The sequence below is a fragment of the Homo sapiens genome, chromosome 14, assembly GCF_000001405.40.
Source record: "Homo sapiens chromosome 14, GRCh38.p14 Primary Assembly".
Classification (NCBI taxonomy): domain Eukaryota; kingdom Metazoa; phylum Chordata; class Mammalia; order Primates; family Hominidae; genus Homo; species Homo sapiens.
In genome coordinates this window covers 70,364,822-70,382,130 of record NC_000014.9, presented here as the reverse complement: position 1 = coordinate 70,382,130, position 17,309 = coordinate 70,364,822, and the positions used below count along the sequence as shown (strand labels likewise).

Here is a 17,309-nt window from a genome sequence, read left to right as displayed (position 1 = left end):
CCGAGTAGCTGGGACTACAGGCGCCTGCCACCACGTCCAGCTAATTTTTTGTATTTTTAGTAGAGACAGGGTTTCACCATGTTAGCTAGGATGGTCTCGATCTCCTGACCTCGTGATCCGCCTGCCTTTGCCTCCCAAAGTGCTGGGATTACAGGCGTGAGCCACCGCGCCCGGCCAAACAACTGGTCTTGACCCACTGGATTGATTTCACAATATTTGAAAAATTACTACTCCAGTGAATGGAAAAGTACTAATGAAATCTGTAGATGCAAGGGATATGTAGAAAGGGGTATATTAAATAGGGGAAGTAGTCTGGGAGTGGAGACCAGTTAAAAGACTGTTTCAGGCAGATTAGGTAAGAACTAACTCAGACTTGAGAATCACTTTGAAGGAGTGTTAAAGTGCAGCTAGGATGAGGCCTAAACGTTTGCATTTTTAACAGGTTCCCAGGTGATGCTAAGGCTGCTGGTGGTGGGACCACACTTTGAGAACCACTGGTCTATGTTAGTAAGGATGGTAATAAAAAGAGTGGATTCCACAGATACTTAAGGGTGAAATCTACAGAACTTGGTGGTTAGTCACTGAGCAGCTGGAATCTAAAAATGCTTAGAGGATGTCAGTATTGGAGAGCAAATTCAATTTTGGAGTAGAAATGATATTGTCAAGGGAGAAAGTCGTAATCATGACATGTTTTAGGGGCTGGTTTACCTTGGGTAAAGGATGCGAAAGGGTTCTTTAAGAAAGAATTATCTTTGCATTTCTAAAAGGTCTCTTATTTGGGGTTTTAAAGTAGTCATTAGAATAACGTCTCTTAAATTAGAATACCTTTAGCCTTAACTAGGAGGGTTGAAAGGCATAATTGGCTTAACTGGCCTATGCCCTTTATAACATCTTCTTTTGCCTGATGTACCAATGTCTTTCTTCCCTGTTAGCAGAAGGAGACTCAGATGGAGGGGCAGGATTACACACTGAATCATTGGCAGGTAAAGCTACTATTAGAATCCAGGCCTTGCAGCTTTATGTAGTACTGAGATTATGTCAGTCAGGCTTTGTGTATTTATGGCTTTTTCAGGGTGCACTCTGCAGCCAAACTTCAGGAAAGCATGTGCTATTTATTATGCTCAAGTGTACAAAGTTCTCTTAGGTATTGTAGAGTTATAATGATCAGCTGAGATACATGTTGAAGTTACAATAGAATGCAAAGTGGTGTCAGGCAGAGTTCAATTTGGACTTTAAGAGAGTTACACAGTATTCAAAGTATATAGTTGCATAGTATTCAGAGTTACAGAGTATTCAAAGAAGTAAATCAGTCATATCTAGTGACGTTATCTAGAAAGGCCTTGTCAATGAAGTGGCACCTAACTAAATTGCTTTTTTAATTTTAATGCTACTTCTGTATATACAAATGAATAGTAATATTAATATATAAATACCTTGTTTTTATTCAACTCTAACTTTTTTTTTTTTTTGAGACAGAGTCTTGCTCTGTTGCCCAGGCTGGAGTACAGTGGCACAATCTTGGCTCACTGCAACCTCTGCCTCCTGTGTTCAAGTGATTCTTCTGCCTCAGCCTCCCGAGTAGCTGGGACTACAGGTGTGCGCCACCACGCCCAGCTTATTTTTGTATTTTTAGTAGAGACGGGGTTTCACCATGTTGGTCAGGGTGGTCTCGAACTCCTGACCTCATGATTCGCCCTCCTTGGCCTCCCAAACTGTTGGGATTGCAGGTGTGAGCCACCATGCCTGGCCTCAACTCTTAACACTTTTTAAATGTGTAACATTAAATACAAACTAAATGGCAAAACCAATAAAAATTTAATTTACAACATATATGTGATAGGCAGTAATATGTTGCTGAAATAAAATCCTTGCTTGCCATGTAAATTCATATAGATTAGTGTTTTAAAGTGAAGGCTTTTGGGCCAGCCTGCTTGAGTTTGAATCCTTGGCTTTGCTGCTTTCATTCTGTTTGCTCACAGATAAATTGATAGCCTTTCTACACTTCAGTTTTATCACTTATAAAATAGGGGTTCCTAACTTACAGAACTATTGTGAAGACTAAATGAGTTAATACATGTAAGATGAACAGACAGCTCCAGACATGGTTATGTTCAATAATTCTCTGCAATTATTACTGACTACTATGGCAAAGATTATTTTAAGCCCAGTATTTCTACCATTTAATATAGTGACCCAGTTATCTCATTTGCATTTATATTACTATGAAACCTTGGCTCTGATATTGAGCTGTGACATCATTTGGCATTCATTGACATGACTGCATCATTAACTTACTTGTCTGCCTCTAAAGAAAGTACTTATTTCTTTATAATGAGAAATAGAGCTATCACATGGGCTAGATTACTTAAGTGAGCATTCCCATGACAGTCAGCAATCTCACACCTATTCTGTCAGGAGTTAACTAGAAAATTGAGTCATTGAGAATTCATTGTGATAGTTATAGAAATCCTGAAGTTCTTTTCCTACAGCATATCTAACAAGAAAACCAAGGCATAACATGAAATTAAAGTCCCTCGACTAGAAAACTGTATTCATTTCTACACTGTAGGTAGCAGGACTGATCCTTTTTAAAGATCAATCTTGGAAGATAAATAGAATTTTTTAAAAGGGAAGGGCATTTAGGTGGTAGATACAGTTTGAGCACAGGTATAAAGGTAAAAAATATGTTTTATGTCCCAGTCAGTGAGTTATGTGACTTAGCTAGAGTATAGGATATAGGAAAGGAAATAGAAATTAACCTGAGAAGATAGGTTAGAGTCATTTCCTGGAAGACTTTCCATATCAGCATAAGAAACGAGGTATGTACTCTTTCCTTGCTCCCCAGTTTTGTTTTTGTTTTTTGAGCAGTAAAGTGGTAGTAACAGAATTGTACTTTAGGAAGATTAATCTGGAGACCTAGTATTTGAATCGGTTCCAACCTAGAGAAAAGTAAATCAGAGAGAAGTGATCACAGTAGTTCAACTAAGAGTATTTTAAACCAAGAGTCTTCTAAATTGATTGAAGTTTCTTTTGCCAAGGTTAAGGACATGCCTGGGAGACAGGTATGTTCCTTTCTCCAAAGATGATTTTGAGGGCTTTAATATTTAAAGTAGGCTGAAGAGCAAAGAGGGAAGGTATGGTAATCCACATGTTGCCAGAGGAAAGGAGCAGGCAAGGGAATAGTCAATTACGTATTTTCTTTTGCTTAGTAAGTTGGGACTTTACATAAGATAAGGTGAACATAGAGTAATTACCTGTGGAGATATTTAACCTGTTATCTGTAGCTATCTGCTTGGGAACAAAAGGAAAAGCAGTTTATTGCATGACTCAGCTTGCAGCTTAATTTTTTCTCTTGACATGGTGGATTGGGGTCCCAAGTTTTTGTTTTGTTTTTAGTGTCAACAGCCTAAAATAGGCAATAGGAAAGAAAATACTGTATGAGAGATGTCATAGTGTTAGACTGTGGAGTTTGGCAATCTATTGTATATGAAAGTTGACAGCAGAGAGAGTTTAAAACTATTATTAAAATTTTAGCCTGGGCTGGGGCACAATGTCTCACACCTATAATCCCAGCACTTTCGGAGGCTGAGGCAGGAGAATCACTTGATCCCAGGAGTTCAAGTCTCCAGTCAGCCATGATCACACCACTGTGACAGCCTGAGGGACAGAGCAAGACTCTGTCTCAAAAAAAAAAAAAAAAAAAAAAGTTTGAAGGAATGATAGTGGCAATAAGAAGCAAGGTATGTATTCTGATTTTTGTGGGAAGTAATAAAGAGGTTTTGGATATGTTGAATTAGGGTCTAGCAGAGTATACAGGTGTAGGCATCCAGCAAGAAACTGGCAAATCCAGAAGTACAAGTAGGGATACAAATTTGGGAGTTATCTTACAGATTATGGTTGAAACTGTTAAAGCTCACAGTGGGAGAGAAAGAAAGAAGATAGAGGATTGATACTGAAAAACCTTGACTCACCTTAAGGAGAAAGAAAGGGAAGAGGAAATCCGGAAAGGAATAATTTAAGAACAAAGAATGCTAAGTGTTCATATGCCAAGATAGGAGAAAATTACAAAAGGGAGGAGGTGGTCTGAAGACAAAAACGGCTATAGGATTTGGTGATTGGAAGTTATTGGTGACCTTTAGAAAAACATGTTCTTCCCTTCTACCTCATACATTGTGAGATTACAGGGGAATAGAGAATGAATGCTGAAGAAATAGAGGTAGTGCATGCAAACAGTTCTTAGAACAAATTTAGCAGTCAAAGAAAGAGGAAAGAAGATGGGAGGAGAGTGATAATGCGTTCCAAGAAATAGTTGTATTGTTTTCTTTATAGAGGTGTATAATTTTAGTTGAGAGAAGGAGCAGAGAAAGATAATAGTTAAGTAATCAAGAAGACAGAGTGTCTGTGAGTTTTGTAAGGAGGTTAGAAGAAGTATGATCAAGATCATCAGTGGATGGTTTCACCTTGAAAAGGAAATAGATCTAATTCAGAGACTAGGGGAAAGGAGTAGTGAGAAGATATAAAGAAACTTTGAGGGAGAAGGAAAGAAAATGTAGAAAGCATTTATCAGAAGTCCTCAGTGTTCTCACAAAAGATAAAGGAATCAGCTAGGGAGAGAGGTAGAAATGGGGTTGGAGACGGTGGTGGAAAAAGGTCTGGAACAGCTATCACTGCGTGTTTATTAAGGAGTTCAGCAAATGAGTAGAAGCGGTTTTAAGGATGAGCTGGAGTCAGCTAGTATGGGTCTATGGTGGAGAATGAGAATATACCTTTCTCCCAGAATATTCAACTTAATGATGGCAAGAAAAGGATTGCAGAATATGGCCCAGGACTGGAAAGATGGCAGAAGATCTTGGGGACAAAGGATTCTAATGATTTACCAAGTGCTTTGTTGAAATTACAACAGGAACTCCTAGATGGGCAAGGATGCAAGTAAAGTCTAAAAAGGTTACAAGGAGGAAATTCAGTAGATGAATAGAAAGTATGAAAAGAGTGGAAATTGTTGTCAGGTTTTTAAGAGTTTGAGATATTGGAGCTGAAGCATGTCTAATATTGAAGTCTAAGTTTACGTCAATTGGTGACTGAAGTGGAATGGAGTTGGAAACTATTGGTTTACAAAGGTAGACTGTCTATAGGGCAGAAGTGTTGGTAGATTCATTCACCAACTGTATTGGCAAGAGAGAGAGTAGAGGGAAGATTATGAGTGCCTTGGAGAAGGAAGATTGCGACAAGGAAAATGAGAGAGTTGAGTAAGGGAGTGACTTGAGCATTAGCTGAGCAGAGGATAGTTGGTGAGTCAAGATGGAAGAATAACAGTGCAGAAGGAACAGTGAAATGCAAGGACACTTTGATCTTTCTTTCATTATTTACAAATCCTAGCCCTAGCTCCAGCACAAATCTCACTGAGCTTCAAGTTTCTTTATCTGTGGAAACGAGATAAAAATAATGTCTACCTCATAGGGTTATCATGAGAATTAAAAGAGATAATGTATGTAAAGTACAGAACCTATCAAAAGAAATATATCAGATGTTCTTATTGCTGCTACTGTTAACGATGACATTGACAAGTATAAAAGATATGTAATCTTGCACTAAGTGGGCTGTGCTGTGTCACTGAATACAGCATAGGATAGATAGATTATTACTTGTGGCCGATGTCACTCCTAACTGCAAAAAGTATTAATACAAGTATTCCTTCACATCTCTCACCTCTAAGTGGTAGGAGTGACCTACACTGAAATTTTTTTAAGGATTTATATCATCACAGGAATATGGTTTTTACTAAGTTTTGATTAAAAAATGACTAATTTACTAATTTGGATATAATGGATAGGAGTATCCGTGGAATCACAGGAAGTTGTTCACTATGAAAAGCCCAATAGAATGGGCTAGTATAGATTTATATGACATCAAAATAAATTGGTGGAGAGTTTCATAGAGTTATATTTCTACAGTTGCAGCTGGCAATGCCAGGGCTTAGGAATATAAAGGTTAGGGTGGTAACCTGGAAGACCATGCTATCTTTAAGGAAGCAGGTTAACACTCATGGAAGAAATGCTAATACGGTAACAGATTCCCAAGTGTCAAAACGAGACAGGCATAGAAGCTAAGAGGAAGGAGAGACCACTTTTTATTTTACATAGGTTCTCTTCAGATGGCCTGTGGAACTTCAGTTCTAGGAAAACATAGTTTTGAAAATGAAAAAAGTTCTAAGTTCTGAGCTCTAAGTAACTTTGCCCATACTCCTAGTCCTTGCAATTTGCTCTGAAGGAGTTTGTTATTTAAAGTTTGGCCATTTGAAAATAAATTGTTGACTTCTAATAGCCTTCTTCCTTTCTTACTACTCTTTGGTGTTTTGACAGGTAAATGGCCAAGACCTAAAGAACCTGCTGCACCAGGATGCTGTAGACCTCTTTCGTAATGCAGGCTATGCTGTGTCTCTGAGAGTGCAGCACAGGGTAGGTATCACTTTGAGCCAGAAACCTGGCACCAGGCTTTTGCACTGTACTTCTGAATAAGCCCAATGTGTGTAATCTTCAGTGTTGCTTTTTGTTTTACCCTCACTCCCCTGAAGAGTTTCTCAGGCAAAGGGAGGGGTCCATTGGTACTTCTGCTTATCATTGAAGGACATTCAGGCCAGGCACGGTGGCTCACACCTGTAATCCCAACACTTTGGGAGGCCAAGGTGGGCGGATCACTTCAGGCCAGGAGTTCGAGACCAGCCTGGCCAACATAGCAAAACCTCATCTCTACTAAAAATACAAAAAATTCAGGCACGGTGGTGCACACCTGTAGTCTCAGCTACTTGGGATGCTAAGGTGGGAGGATTGCTTGAGCCCAGGAGGTAGAGGTTGCAGTGAGCCAAGATCATACCACTATACTCCAGCCTGGGCAAGAGAGTGAGACCCTGTCTCAAAAAAAAAAAAAAGAAAAAAAGAGAAAAAAAAGAGAAATTCACAACAGTATGGCTTATAACCAAGGTCCTTGCTTCAAGATAATATGCCTTAAAGATAAAGCTTGACAACCAAATTAAAACAGATGATTAAAGAAAAGCCAGGTGTGGTGACTCACATCTGTACTCTTAGCACTTTGGGAGGCCAAGGTGGTATGATTGCTTGAGCCCGGGAGTTCAAGACCAGCCTGGGCAACATAGAGAGACCTCATCTCTTAAAAAAATAATAATAAAAATAAATAAAAAATTTTAAGAGTGACATGGACCAATGGAAAATAAATAAATTAATTAATTAAAAAGATGGTAAAAAAACGTAGCCAATTTTACTTTTTGGTAGGGAAGGAACCATATGTCTACCGCTGAAAACTTATTTATAAAACCATTGGATAAAACACTACAAAGATGGTGGGTTTTCTGGTACCCACTATATGCTTTTCCCTGTCACTGCCATGAACCCTTCATTTATCAACTTGGTGACCCTCTTAACCAAATCTTTAGTGTTCATAGGAGAACTCCAGGAAAAAGGAAATGGAATTCAGAATTCAGTCAAGGCAGCACCTATCCCTGCATCTGTTTCTTATTTCCAAGTGTTTTATAATTTGGATGATGATGTAAAGGGAAGCCTGGGTAGATATAATTCCTCCTATAGCATTGAGAATTTCTGAGCATATTCACAAAACAGGTTCCATGTGCCTTTAAATTAAATCAATTTGCTACTTCTTAAATAGGTGCACTCTTCCTCACTCAGTGGCTAAGGATTTAGAAGCTTAAGAACATTTAGAGGAGTTCCTAAAAAAGTAGAGAAGGCAGAACGTGAAAGATACCTGAGAAAACAACCAGTTGCAAGCAGAATCTGGGTGTAATGGATTAGAAAACAGGTTAATAAGAGATAATATTGGTCATCAGTTGCTTCTGCCTTGGCTCTTCTCTTTCTAAAGCATGGGAGCATTTGTGCAGTAGATAAAAACAAGTAAATATAGGGACACACTTCAATATGATTACAATTCTTTTGGAAGGTATGTGAGAAGTTATTTCCAGTGTTCACTTTTAAGGAAACATCCATAAATAATTCCTAATAAAAAAGACCCTTATGTTCAGGCAATTGGCCTAGCCCTAAAAACCATGCCTTCTTATTGAGCATGTCCTTTCAGGACAGCTCATCAGCAAATGAATGAAAAACATAGAGGTGGAATAGAGGGTATAATGGTATTTCATGCAGTCTTGCCTTTCAGATTGAAGTGTCAGTTTTATGAGTTGTAATGAGGCAGTTTAACTGAAATACGATGATGCCATAATTATTGCAAGTTAGCCACTAAAAGTTGATATTAAGAAGAGCTACCCTGAAAACCATCACTAAAATGAAGACCATCCAGCCTCAAAAGGAAACACTTAGCCAATAGAAAATTATAAGCACTAGGATATAATTTCTTTTTGCTTTTTTACATCTGTTCCATATAGATTCACCTTCATCTCTCTCTAGTATTAGAAATGAGCAGATGAAGGGCAAAACCCCATCTTTGGAGGGAGTTGGGTGCCTTCTGGGATCTGGAAAGCATTTTTCAAGTAATGGCATTGGACGTATGTTGGTATTGCACCTATGTTGACATTGCCCACATCTGCTCTTACTACATTTTGATGACTGATTATCTAAGTAAACATTTCCAGAAAGATCCCCCTTCTTCCTCACCAAGTAATATCCAAGTTCCCTATAAGATCATAGGTTTTATCTCATGTCTTCATTTTCCTGATACGATACACAAATAGCAAGGTAGAGGCAGTACAGAAACAGAAATTACCTGACTTGCCCTCACGGGTCCCTTTAGGTCAGCAAGGTTAAATGCCTCCCCATTAGACCTATTTTCTTTCCAAAGATCCTGTGACACTGATGCATCAGCTCAGGACAAAGAGAGGACTCCTTCTGCTAGGTATTGCTGGGGGTTACAGTTTTGGGTGGTCTAGAGTCTACAAACCCAGGTGATGTATCAACCTGGGCGTTTCAGTTGCAAACACACATTAGTCACTAGAGTTAACATTTTTCTTTCCCTTCCAGTTACAGGTGCAGAATGGACCTATAGGACATCGAGGTGAAGGGGACCCAAGTGGTATTCCCATATTTATGGTGCTGGTGCCAGTGTTTGCCCTCACCATGGTAGCAGCCTGGGCTTTCATGAGATACCGGCAACAACTTTGAAAAACTTGCTCTCTTTCAATACTCCCAATGAAGATACATTTCACTCACCCTCCACCCCTGCTATTCTGCCATGTCTTTCCCTCTCTCTGCATAGCCAGATTTGAAGTGACTGATACCCACCCCAAACCTTGCTGTTCACAGTCTCCAATTCTTCATATTCTAATGGGAAAGTAAAGGTATTGTTTGAAGGAAAACTGAAGAAAAGACTTGGCTTAGAACAAATGAGGAGTTATATATTTTACTAGGACTTTTGATAGAAATTCAGCTACAACCCAAAGAGAGAAAGATTGAGTCTTCCTGTCACCATAGGCAATACCTTTTTTCTTAGCTGGCATGCCATAAAGGCCAGCTATGTGATATTAGAGGAAGAAAGGATTTTTCTTTTTAATGATCTTCCTTGGGAAATTATTGTGGCCTTTATTTAATTTCTAACTACGTACCTGGGTGCCTATATCGACAAAGAGTGAGAAGAGCATTTTTACTTTTTTAAAAAAGCAAATACATATATACACATACGTATGCAAATATTATAGTATAATAGTGATCCCTATGGAGAATTAAAGGTGAGAAAGCTACTTTGTGGTGTCTAGGTTTCTGATAAAAGGGATGATCTTAACTGAAGAATTTAAAGAGATACTTAAACAGAGCAAATGTAGTAGGAACAAGGGAGTGAGCCTTATAAGAGGACGTTCAGTCTCATTTATTAAAATAATAACTGAGACTGGGAGAGGTGGCTCATGCCTGTAAATCCCAGCACTTTGGTAGCCTGAAGTGGGAGATTGCTTGAGTCCAGGAGACCAGCCTGGGCAACATAGCAAAACCTCATCTCTATTTAAAAAAAAAATAGAAAAAAATGTAATAACTGAAGCAACTAATTAAAAATCTTAGAAGAACAATATTTATTCTTATAACAGCCAACTATGGTGAGTTATTATAAGGTAAATTGCCATAATCCAGCGCTGCTCACATCTAAAAAACTTTGAGGTGTAAAGGTAAATCGTACCAATCTCTGGGCTGCCCTAGTGACTTTTTTGATACCTCAGAGTCCTATTGAAGAACCAGGTGGAATGATTGTGGTAAGGGCTATAGTGCTGGAGCCAAACACCCCAGCAAGAAAACTCTAAAAGGACAAAAGATAAGGTAGTGCCTCCAAGGTGGCACCTGAACCCTCTCAGGCTACTTTTTGGTTTCTACTAACAAACCTGAGGGAAGGAACTGCCTCCCTGGCAGGATGGGCATCAAATCAACTCTGGCTTCAGATTTAGTTAAAATGAGGCCGGGTGCAGCGGCTCACACCTGTCATCTCAGCACTTTGGGAGGCCGAGGCAGGCAGATCACAAGGTCAGGAGTTCAAGACCAGCCTGGCCAACATGGTGAAACCCCATGTCTACTGAAAATACAAAAATTACCTGGACATGGTGGCGCGTTCCTGTAATTCCAGCTACTCAGGAGGCTGAGGCAGGAGAACTGTTTGAACCAGGACCTGGGAGACGGAGGTTGCAGTGAGCCAAGATCACGCCACTGCACTCCAGCCTGGGCTACAGAGCAAGACTCCATCTCAAAAAAAGAAAGGCATGGATTGCTAGTATTTTTGAAAGGCTTTATACACTACATACGGCTTTTAATAAACCTTTTTGCAGCAAGAGGGAGGAAAAGAGTTTTGTTTGCTTTAGGAGGTAGGGAAATGTGGTAGGTGTTTCATGCGGCCTAGGAGGAGGATATGAATGAATGGATACTATGGAATGCCAGTGATCTCGATAAGGTGGGAACCATCCTGTTCATGTTCTTTTAAGGCTGGTTTTAAGCACTATGGGTAGCTGAATTTTCTGGCTTTAAGAAAATCATTTCCATTAGCCAAATATATTGGCCATACTATAGGCCTTTTATAATTTTGTTAGCAAGATTATCAGGACTCAGGCAATCAACTGTATTTCATTTCTAGCTTGGACAGTCTGGTAATTAAATGTTGATTGGACATCAGCTTTGTCAAGACACTTTTACAAAGAAGTACAGTGCATATCCTCCATCCCATAGGGCTTTTGGGTTCCAACTGCGAAGACAACACTCTTATTGGCCACATAGGTAGGACAGTGTAAGTAGGGGTCATGTTTATATTACAGACAGCAAAAGAGAAAAGTTACTGAGAACTGGGGCGTTTGAGAAAGTTACGTGGAGGAAAGGGACAAGTTGAAGACCCTTAAGGGCCTCACAGCCTAGTTAAGAGAATTCATAAACAGGTGAGAAGTTAAAAGTATATCAGCAGGCTAAGTATTGAAAACAATATTAAAGGGGTACCATGCAAAACACGATGCAGCAACAAAGAAGATATGCAGGTAATCATCACATTTTCTTTTAGAAATTCAGGGAAAAAAAGATGTCACATAATGGCATCAGGCTCAATTGGAAAGGGAAGGCTTTTGAAAATAAGAGGTCCGGTAAGACCTTGCCTCTGGGTCACTACTGGTATAGGGAGAAACTTGCTTTAAACAGTCCTGACATAAAGTGCCTTTTGACATCAACTATTCAATACCTTTGAGACTCACTTAGACAACTGGACTCATTGTAGGTTCCACAGAAAAACACGGACAACATTCTAGTTGTCACTCCAACCAGCCACACTAGGAGGGCACAGCCTCTGGTACCCTTTCTGTTCCTGAAGGCATGTACAGCGGCTTCTACAGCAAGCTTGCTTACCTCCCAGGATTCACCTCATGGTTTGGACACTGATTCCTGAGAGAGCCTTGAGACACACAAAGTGAAAAAAATGTCAAGCAGGAATGAAAGCTCTAGTTTTTTGCTTGTTGGTATATGTAAATTTGTTTAAAAAGTATCCATTCTGTCGTTGGTAGAAGTTTTGCTTTGGTTGATAATAGAGATTCTGATGTACTCTTATAACTTAGGTTTTCTCAGAAATTAAGTAGCATTGAAGATCAATGTAATACAGTTTTAAGCAGGTACACTAATTATATTATTGATTCTATAGAAAACTAAAATTATAGATGAGGTATCAGGATCCATTATAGGTTGTAAAAAAATTCATGTTCTTCATAGATTGAGTCTAATATTTCTTCTATAGATTGCATCTAATGTTCCTACTACCTAAATTATTACGTTCAAAGTTTTGAAAATTGAACGAAGGTATTTTTAAGTACTTAAAACATTTCTCTATCATTCTGTATTACATGTATAATTATAAGATATTGTTTGCTTCAACTAGCTGTACTTTGTTTTCCTGTGAAGTTTCAACTTATGTGTTATCGATTTAACTTAATTGTTCCATCTAGCCATGTATAATGGAAAAAGGAAGTTAATATTTGTTATTGTGTTCTATGCCAGGGACTGTACCAAACTCTGATTGGTACATTATTTCATGTCTCATAACTCTGGGATCTAAGTATTGTCACAAAGAGACTAAAAATGAGAGAAAAAATTACTTGACTAGGATTATGTAGGTGGTAATAATAGAATCAGGATTTAAACTCAGGACTTCAGATGCCAGCATCAATGATATTCTCTCACTGGAAGTGGTTCTCAAAGCAAGGTCCTGACAAAAGCATCAGCGTTACTGGGGAACTTGTTAGAAAAGCAAGTTCATAGGCTGGGCATGGTGGCTCATGCCTGTAATCCCAGCACTCTAGGAGGCCTAGGCAGGTGGGTCACTTGAGCTCAGGAGTTTTGAGACCAGCCTGCACAATGTGGTGAAACCCTGTCTTTACTAAAAGTCAAACAAATTAGTGGTGCATTCCTGTAGGCCCAGCTACACGGGAGGATTGCTTGAGCCCAGGAGACTGAGGTGCAGTGAGCCGTGATTGCTCCACTTCATTCTAGCCTGAGCAACGGAGTGAGACCTTGTCTCAAAAACAAAAAAACAAACAAACAAAAAACAAAAAGCAAGTTCCCAGAAGAGAAAAAAGAAGTTCCAGACCTAGTGAATCAAAAACTCTGAGCGTGGCATCTCACAATCTGTGTTTTTGTAATCCTTCCAGGTGACTGATTCATGCTAAAGTTTGAGACTCATTGCTCTATGCCAGTCATCATTCCCTTTGCTCAGGTTAGAATCATCTGGAGAGCTTATAAACGTCCCCATGCCCAGGCTGCACACAGATCAATTAAAAGGAACCTCTGAGGGTGGGACTCAAGCAGCAGTAAAATAAAGTTCATTGAGTGATTCTGGTGTGCAGCCGCAGTTGAAAATGTTATATAGCATTTAAACAAGACACTATTTAATTAAACACTATTTAAATTATTAAATTACATACATTGCTTCAGGCAAAACAACAACAACAACAACAACAACAAAAACTTGGGCCTTTAGAGCCCAGCTTCCTGAGCTTCTGCACGAAGTAAGTGGAACATTCATTTCTTCCTGATTTGCTAAGGATTGATCAACCTCCAGCAAAATGTATGATTAGTGAGTGTTTCAGTTGGTGCATCAATTAAATGAGAACCAATCATAGAACATTGAAGCTAAAAAGGACCAGAGAGCTTCTAGGATGAATCTGTCTTAGAGATGAGAAAAATAAAGGCTCAGAGAGGGAAGCTAACTTAACTCTGATCAGACTTAGTTTGTTGCAGAAGTGACCTTTCTGTCTCATATTTATGTCTTGAATATATTCACTACATGAATACACAGACTACCCATTTTATCTTAGTCTACTTCTTTCTTCTCTCTTTGGGCCTGAATAAAGACCAGAACTGATAGACAGCTAAAGGATATTGCAAGCATCATTATTGGAATTGGGAGATTCCACAGAACAATCTGAGAATGATCTCATATCAAATCCAATCAGATGAGTTATTCTGAGACTAATTCCAATAGTTCTAGAGACTTTTTTTTTTATGGTGGACATTGTTTTTATTGTGTAAATAAGCAATTTTTAAAGTATATTTAAAGAAATGAAACATAAGGAAGTGTATAGGCTGTCAGGTATGTGGGGAAGTGAAGTTCATGTAGTTTTCATGTGGAGCCCATACAGATTTTATTATAGTCAATTTTAGTGAAATTTATCGTTGGTCAGATGAAGGTTTTTTTCCTTCATTCAGCAAATAACTAATGACTGCCTACTATGTGCTAGGTGCCGAAGATAGAGAGATAAATAACACTTAGTCACTCTAAGCTGAAATTGCTCAGCATATGAAAGTGGAGGAATATTTGTAGGTGATTTTGATGTTAAAGTATTTTTTTAACATCACCTGGTAGTAGAAGATTGAGTTATGAAGCTGTCTACCTCTCACCTGTAATAGTTTTAGAGTTGGTTGCTATTTTGGTGTAAGTCTTTTTTGCTGTTCCTCTTTTAACTGCAAATCTTTTTGAGACCAGCACTCACATCCAAAAGGGCAATTGTGATAAAAAAGAAGACAGTATTTTAAGGATTCTGATCAGAACCAGATTCTTTTCTTTTCTTTTTTTTTTTTTTTTTTTTTTTTTTGAGACGGAGTCTTGCTCTGTCGCCTAGGCTGGAGTGCAGTGGCACGATCTCAGCTCACTGCAATCTCTGCCGCCCGGGTTCAAGCGATTCTCCTGCCTCAGCCTCCCCAGTAGTTGGGATTACAGGTGTGTGCCACAACGCCTGGCTAATTTTTGTATTTTTAGTAGACACGGGGTTTCAGCATCTTGGCCAGGCTGGTCTTGAATTCCTGACCTCGTGATCCACCCATCTCGGCCTCCCAAAGTGCAGAACCAGATTCTTAACTGCCACAGACTCTTGTATTATGTAATTTATATACAGAACACAAAGCACTTGATTTGCTTAACTGATGTACTTGATGATACTATAAAACCTATATTATGAGAAAGCATTGCTCCTTCAAAGGAATCAAGTGATAGCAAACACTCGGTCCTGTTTCCAGGTTTTCCTCACTGTTCATTTTGCCTTTGTTCTTGCAGGGGGAGAATGAAAGGGGCGAGAGCTAAAGTGTGTTGTCAATGCAAGTCAATCCTTAACCAACAATAATTTACAAAAGAACTTTATATTTGCTGTAATCATTAAATTTAGTTACTAATCCCAGGAAAAGGGTTAGTCCTTCCTCCTAGTTTGTAGATTTGCAAATGGAGATGAATAATTGAATCCTATTTTAATCTTTTATCTGCAGTAATCTGGGCTTCTTATTACCGGATATATTTGCATTTTACCTCCAGGCCATGTTAGTTCTTAGAAGATTATTTTCCTCATGAACCCTGTTTTGTTTTGCTTCCTTTCTGCTTCAATTCTAATGTCACATTGCATACCTGGATGTAAACAGCAGTCAGTTTCTCAGATCAAATAGAGCCCTGTAGCAACTTGGAAGACACAGAAGACACACGGACATAAAACTGTATTTATTATCCAGGGAATGTCACTACGGATTAATTATGTTAATGAGGCCATCAAAATCTATGGTAATCTTTCAGGCTTTGTTGTTTGATACCAGATACAGCAAATGAGATAATAATGTGTCTAATTGTGCCTAGCCAGTATTGGTATTTAATAAAACTTTGTCATTGAATCTTTACAATCTTTTTTCACCTTATTTTGAAGACCGTTGATTAAATATCTCATTTTTTTTTCTTCCAGATGAGGGTTTTTTCCTTCATTCAGCAAATATCTGATAAGTGCTTACTATGTACTAGATATTCTTAGGGTAACACCTCTGACAGAATTGTGGAAAGAGGAAGAAATCTAAATGATCAGTTTGAGGCTTTGACATAGGAGATAAGGAACAGGACATTGATATCCTGTTAACAATTATGGAGCTCTTATCAATATTCCAGCTTTTGTTCTAAGGCCTTTGCATGTATAATATTTATTTAAGCCTCAAAACAACTCTTAAGATAACTGCTGTTGTTATCTTCATTTTATAGATAAAAGGCATAGAGAGGTTAAGTAACTTGCCCAAGTTATACAGCTACTAAGTGCCAAAGCTGTGATTTAAACCCAGGCAATCTGGCTTCAAAACCTGCATTCATAACTATAACACCTTACTGTCTCTACTTCCCATGGTACCAGGCACTGCATTAGGCTGCCCTTTTGTATAACTTAATGCCAAATTCTCATATCTGTGCAAGGCAGTGTCAATATTCCATTTTTATAGGGGAGGTAACTTGATGCTTAAAGAAGTTAATAACTTGCTCAAGATACATAACTAGTCAGTTCCAGACCTGGGAATTTACTTCAAGCCAATGAGTCCACTGCCCTTCCACTATTCTAGAAAATTAAGGTTTACTATACTCAATTTGATTCAACCATGCTATCATATCCTTCCATTATGGATAACAGGAAATTGACTGCACTAGGTTAAATGTTCTATAATAGCAGTAGCAGTATCATTGTGTATTTATTCGCAATGTTTGCAAGCAGTTGCCAACATTTACCATCTTACTTGTATCCCCTTCATCCCCCAAAGCCTTATAAGATACATAGAAGGCAGAAGTGGGTTTGTGCCACAGCATGAAAAAGGACTTGTCAGAACTGAATATTGTTGACCTTTATTCTAAGTTAGTTTGCATACAGCTGACTTTGATATGAAGAGAAAAGGCAGTTTACATTGGTCATCATTGCTCCGTCACCCATGTTAAGCAGTTCAGGCCTGAAATCAAATTGGTAGTCTACAGTATGTATAGAATGGCCATGTTCTTTCTTGATAGGCAAAGGTGTGTCAGTTACCAATTATGTAACAAACCACTGCAAAACTTAAGTGGCTTAAAGCATATTAATAATTTTTTAAAAGATTCTGTCAATTGACTATTTGTTCTGCTGATATCACCTGGGATGGTTTTACTAATCAATTCTTGTATTTTTGCTTGTTTCCTATTTTTTTAGTTTAGCTTTTATTTTGGTTAATTCCCTCGTTATGCTTTCCTTTGTTTGTGTTTTTGGTTTTGGGCTTTTTTTTGTTGTACTTTTCCTTTTCATAAGTTGGATATTTGTTTTCAGTTATGTGCAATCATAGGACTTCATATGAAGTTTTTTTCCTTTTTATTAACTGCCATGTAACATAAGTTCTATTTTGATATCCTCCTCAGTTTGGGGGTTATTCAAAATGTTGTTTGATTTGGAAGTGATTATTTTAGGAAATAGATTCATTTTTGAGGCATCAAGTTCCAATTCTATTGGATGTGCATTGTGTTTTGTTTTATAGGAAACTTTGTGTGTACAATGGTATTTGACTAATCTTTTTTTTTTTTAAAAC

The 17,309-nt window shown here is 38.4% G+C and overlaps 2 protein-coding genes across 4 annotated transcripts in view; both read left to right on the top strand.

The window, feature by feature from the left end:
• SYNJ2BP (synaptojanin 2 binding protein) overlaps positions 1 to 15,632 on the top strand; it is a 50,592-nt gene extending 34,960 nt beyond the window's left edge. The window contains exons 3-4 of the mRNA NM_018373.3: positions 6,360 to 6,455; positions 9,000 to 15,632. Of these exons, the coding sequence (NP_060843.2) occupies positions 6,360 to 6,455; positions 9,000 to 9,140 (237 nt within the window). The 3' untranslated portion in view covers positions 9,141 to 15,632. The remainder of the gene's footprint in view (positions 1 to 6,359; positions 6,456 to 8,999) is intronic.
• The window catches only part of SYNJ2BP-COX16 (SYNJ2BP-COX16 readthrough), a 92,010-nt gene that overhangs the window by 34,960 nt on the left and 39,741 nt on the right, over positions 1 to 17,309 (top strand). For 2 of the 3 annotated variants that reach the window (NM_001202549.2, NM_001202548.2), the window contains exon 3: positions 6,360 to 6,455. In NM_001202549.2, coding sequence (NP_001189478.1) covers positions 6,360 to 6,455 — 96 coding nt within the window. Of the gene's footprint in view, positions 1 to 6,359; positions 6,456 to 8,999; positions 9,099 to 17,309 lie in introns of all 3 variants that reach the window. The other variant, NM_001202547.2, reaches the window with a different exon arrangement.